This window comes from Homo sapiens, chromosome 6, assembly GCF_000001405.40.
Source record: "Homo sapiens chromosome 6, GRCh38.p14 Primary Assembly".
NCBI lineage: Eukaryota > Metazoa > Chordata > Mammalia > Primates > Hominidae > Homo > Homo sapiens.
In genome coordinates, this window is record NC_000006.12 from 61,421,260 (window position 1) to 61,426,639 (window position 5,380).

Here is a 5,380-nt window from a genome sequence, read left to right on the forward strand (position 1 = left end):
AATTCTCAAAAACTTCTTTGTAATGTTTGCATTCAACTCACAGAGTTGAACTTTCCTTTCCATAGAGAAGATTTGAAATACTCTTTTTGTAGAATTTCCAAGTGAATATTTAGAACGCTTGGAGGACTAAGGTAGAAAAGGATATATCTTCATATAAAAACTAGACAGAAGCATTCTCAGAAACTACTTTGCGATGTTTACGTTCAACTCACAGAGTTGAACCTGCCTTTTGGTAGAGCAGTTTTGAAACACTCTTTTTGTAGAATTTGCATGTGTGTATTTAGAGGGCTTTGAGGCCTATGGTAGAAAATGAAATAACTTCACATAAAAACTAGAAGGAAGCATTCTCAGAAACTTCTTTCTGATGTTTGCATTGAACTCACAGTGTTCAACATTCCTTTTGATAGAGCAGTCTTGAAACACTCTTTTTCCAGAATTTGCAAGAGGATATTTGGACCTCTTTGAGGCCTTCATTGGAAACGGGAATTTCTTCACATAAAAACCAGACTGAAGAATTCTTAGAAATTTTTGTGATGTGTGCATTCAACTCACCGAGCTTAACCTTTCTTTTGATAGAGCAGTTTTGAAACACTCTTTTTGTAGAATTAGCAAGTGTGTATTTAGAGGGCTTTGAGGCCTATGGTAGAAAAGTAAATATCTTCACATAAAAACTGCACAGAAACATTCTCAGAAACTACATTGTGAAGATTCCTTTCAACTCACAGAGTTCAACATTCCTTTTGATAGAGCAGTTTTGAAACACTCTTTTTTTAGAATCTGCAAGCAGATATTTGGACCTCTTTGAGGCCTTTGCTGGAAACGGGAATTCCTTCACATAAAAACTAGACAGAAGAATTCTCAGAAACGTTTTGTGATGTGTGCATTCAACTCACAGAGTTGAACCTTCCCTTTGATACAGCAGTTTTGAAACACTCTTTTTGTAGAATTTCCAAGTGGATATTTAGAGCGCTTTGAAGCCCATTGTAGAAAAGAAAATATCTTCATATAAAAACTAAACAGAATCAGTCTCAGAAACTACTTTTTGATGTGTGCGTTCAACTCACAGAGTTTAACCTTTCTTTTGAGACAGCAGTTTTGAAACACTCTGTAAAGTCTGCAAGTGGATATTTGGAGCGCTTTGAGGCCTTCGTTTGAAACGGAATTTCTTCATATAATACTAGACAGAAGCATTCTCAGAAACTACTTTGTAATGTTTGCATTCCACTCACAGAGTTGAACATTACGTTTGATAGAGCAGGTTTGTAACACTCTTTTTGTAGAATCTGCAAGTGGATATTTCGACCTCTTTGAGGCCTTCGTTGGAAACGGGAATTTCTTCATAAAAAAACAAGACAGAAGAATTCTCAGAAACTTCTTTGTTATGTGTGCATTCAACTCAGAGTTGAACCTTCCTTTCGATAGAGCAGCTTTGAAACACTCTTTTTGTACTATTTCCAAGTGGATATTTAGAGAGCTTTGAGACAGATGGCAGAAAAGGAAATATCTTCATATAGAAACTAGACAGAAGAATTCTCAGAAACTATTTTTTGATGTGTGAATTCAATTCACAGAGTTTAAACTTTCTTTTGATAGAGCAGTTTTGAAACGCTCTTTTGGTAGAATTTGCAAGTGTATATTTACAGCGCTTTGAGGCCTATTGTATAAAAGGAAATTTCTTAACATAAAAACTAGACAGAAGCATTCTCAGAAACTACATTGTGATGTTTGCATTCAACTCACAGAATTGAACATTCCTTATGATAGAACAGTTTTGTAACACTCTTTTTGTAGAATCTGCAAGTGGATATTTGGATATCTTTGATTCCTTCATTGGAAAGGGGAATTTGTATAATTTTCAAGTGGATATTTAGAGCGCTTTGAGGCCTATGGTAGAAAAGGAAATATCTTCATATTAAAACTAGACAGAATTATTCTATGAAACTACTTTGTGATGTGTGGGTTCAACTCACAGAGTTTAACCTTTCCTTTGATAGAGCAGTTTTGAAACACTCTTTTTGTAGTTCTTGCAAGTGGATATTTAGGGTGCTTTGAGGCCTATGGTAGAAAAGGAAATATCTTCACATAAAAACTAGACAGAAGCATTCTCAGAAACTACTTTGTGATGTTTGCATTCATCTCACAGACTTGAACATTCCTCTTTATAGAGCTGTTTTGAAACAGTCTTTTCGAAAATTTGCCAGTGGATATTCGGACCACCTTGAGGACTTCTTTGGAAACGAGTTTTCTTCATATAAAACTAGAGAGAAGAATTCTCAGAAACTTCTTTGTGATGTGTGCATTCAAATCACAGAGTTGAACCTTCCTTTCGACAGAGCAGTTTTGAAACACTCCTTTTGTATAATTTCCAAGTAAATATTTTGAGGGCTATGAGGCCTATTGTAGAAAAGGAAATATCTTCCTATAAAAACAAGACAGACTCATTCTCAGAAATTAATTTGTGCTGTGTGTGTTCAACTCACAGAGTTTAACCTTTCTTTTCATAGAGCAATTTTGAAATACTCTGTAAAGTCTGCAAGTGGATATCTGGAGCGTTTTGTGGTCTTCTTTGGAAATGGTAGTATCTTCACATAAAATGTTGACAGAAGTATTCTCAGAAACTTCTTTGTGATATCTGCACTGGATTCACAGAGTTGAATTTTTTTTGATAGGGCAATTTTGACACACTCTTTTTGTAGAATTTGCAAGTGGATATTTAGAGTGCTTTGCGGGCTTTGGTAGAAAAGGAAATATCTTCATAGAAAAACTACACAGAAGCATTCTCAGAAACTACTTTGTGATGTTTGCATTCAACTCACAGAGTTGAGCATTCCTCTGGATAGAGCAGTTTTGGAAAACTCTTTTTGTAGAATCTTCAAGTGGATAATTGGACCTCTCTGTGGCCTTCGTTGGAAACGGGATTTCTTCCTATAAAGCTACACGGAAGAATTCTCAGAAACTTCTTTGTGATGTGTGCATTAAACTCACAGAGTTGAACCTTCCTTTTGATAGAGTAGTTTTGAAACACTCTTTTTGTAGAATTTCCTATTGAATATTTAGAGCGCTTTCAAGCCAATAGTAGAAAAGGAAATACCTTCATATAAAAACTAGACAAAATCATTCTCAGAAACTACTTTGTGATGTGTACGTTCAACTCAGAGAGTTTATCCTTTCTTTTGATACAGTAGTTTTGAAACACTCTGTAAAGTCTGCAAGTGGATATCTGGAGCACTTTGAGGCCTTCTTTGGAAAAAGGAGTATCTTCACATAAAAAGTAGACAGAAGTGTTCTCGGAAACTTCTCTGTGATGTGTCCATTTAACTCACAGAGTTGAACGTTCCTTTTGATAGAGCAGTTTTGAAACACTCTGTTTGTAAAGTCTGCAAGTGGATATTTGGAGCGATTTGAGGCCTTCTTTGGAAACGGGAATATCTTCACATAAAAAGTAGACAGAAGTATTCTCAGAACCTACATTGTGATGTCTGCACGAAACTCACAGAGTTGAACCTTTCTCTTGATAGAACAGTTTTGAAACACTCTCTTTGTAGAATCTGCAGGTGGATATTTAGAGCGCTTTGTGGCCTATTTTAGAAAAGTAAATATCTTCATATAAAAAGTAGACAGAATCATTCTCAGAAATTACTTTGTGATGTGTGCATTCAACTCACAGAGTTTAATCTTCTTTTGATAGAGCAGTTTTGAAACACTCTGTTTGTAAAGTCTGCAAGTGGATATATGGAGCGCTTCGAGGCCTTCTTTGGAAACGGGAGTATCTTCACATAAAAAGTAGACAGAAGTATTCTCAGGAACTTCTTTGTGATGTCTGCACTCAACTCACAGAGTTGTAACTTCCTTTTTATAGACCAGTTTTGAAACACTCTTTTTGTAGAATTTGCAAGTGGATATTTAGAGCTCTTTGGGGCCTATGGTAGAAAAGGAAATATCTTCATAAGAAAACTACACAGAAGCATTCTGTGAAACTAGTTTGTGAGGTTTGCATTCAACTCATAGGGTTAAACATTCTTTTTGATAGAGCAGTTTTGTTACACTCTTTTTGTAGAATCTGCAAGTCTATATTTGGACCTCTTTGATGTCTTTGTTGGAAACGGGAATTTCTTGAAATAAAAACCAGAAAGAAGAATTCGCAGAAACTTTTTTTGACGAGTGCATTCAACTCACAGAGTTGAACCTTCCTTTCGATAGGGCAGTTTGAAAACACTCTTTTTGTAAAATTTCCAAGTGAATATTTAGAGCGCTTGGAGGCCTATGGTAGAAAAGGAAATATCTTCATAGAAAAACTAGACAGAATCATTCTCAGAAACTACTTTGTGATGTCTGCGTTCAACTCACAGAGTTTAACCTTTCTTTTCATAGAGCAGTTTTGAAACACTCTGTTTGTAATATCTGCAAGTGGATATTTGGCGCACTTTAACGCCTATGGTAGAAAAGGAAATATCTTAACATAAAAACTTGACAGAAGCATTCTCAGAGACTACTTTGTGATGTTTGCATTCACTTCACAGAGTTAAACATTCCTTTTGATACAGCAGTTTTGAAACACTCTTTTTAAAAAATCTGCAAGTGCATATTAGGACCTCTTTGAGATCTTCGTTAGAAACGGGAATTTCTTCACATAAAAACTAGACAAAATAATTCTCAGAAACTTTTTGTGATGTGTGCATTTAACTCTCAGAGTTGAACATTCCTTTAGATAGAGCAGTTTTGAAACACTCTTTTTGTAGAATTTCCAAGTGGATATTTAGAGCGCTTTGAAGCCTGTGGTAGAAAAGGAAATATCTTCACATAAAAACTAGACAGAATCATTCTCAGAAACTACTTTGTGATGTGTGCGTTCAACTCACAGAGTTAAACCTTTCTTTTGATAGAGCACTTCTGAAAAACTCTGTTTGTAAAGTCTGCAAGTTGATAATTGGAGCGCTTTGAGGCCTTCTTTGGAAATGGGAATATCTTCCCTCTAAAAGCACATAGAAGTATTCTCAGAAACTTCTTTGTGATGTCTGCACTCCACTGAAACAGTTGAACCTTCCTTTTGATAGAGAAGTTTTGAAACACTCTTTTTGTAGAATGTGCAAGTGGATATTTAGAGAACTTAGTGGACTATGGTAGAAAAGGAAATATCTTTATATAAAAACAAGACAGAATCATTTTCAGTAACTTTTATGTGATGTGTGTGTTCAACTCACCGAGTTTAACCTTTCTTTTGATAGAGCAGTTTTGAAACACTCTTTTTGTAGAATTTGCAATTGTATATTTACAGCGTTTTGAGGCCTGTGGTAGAAAAGTAAATATCTTCACATAAAAACTAGATAGAAGCATTCTCAGAAACTACTTTGTGATATTTTGATTCAAATCACAGAGTTCA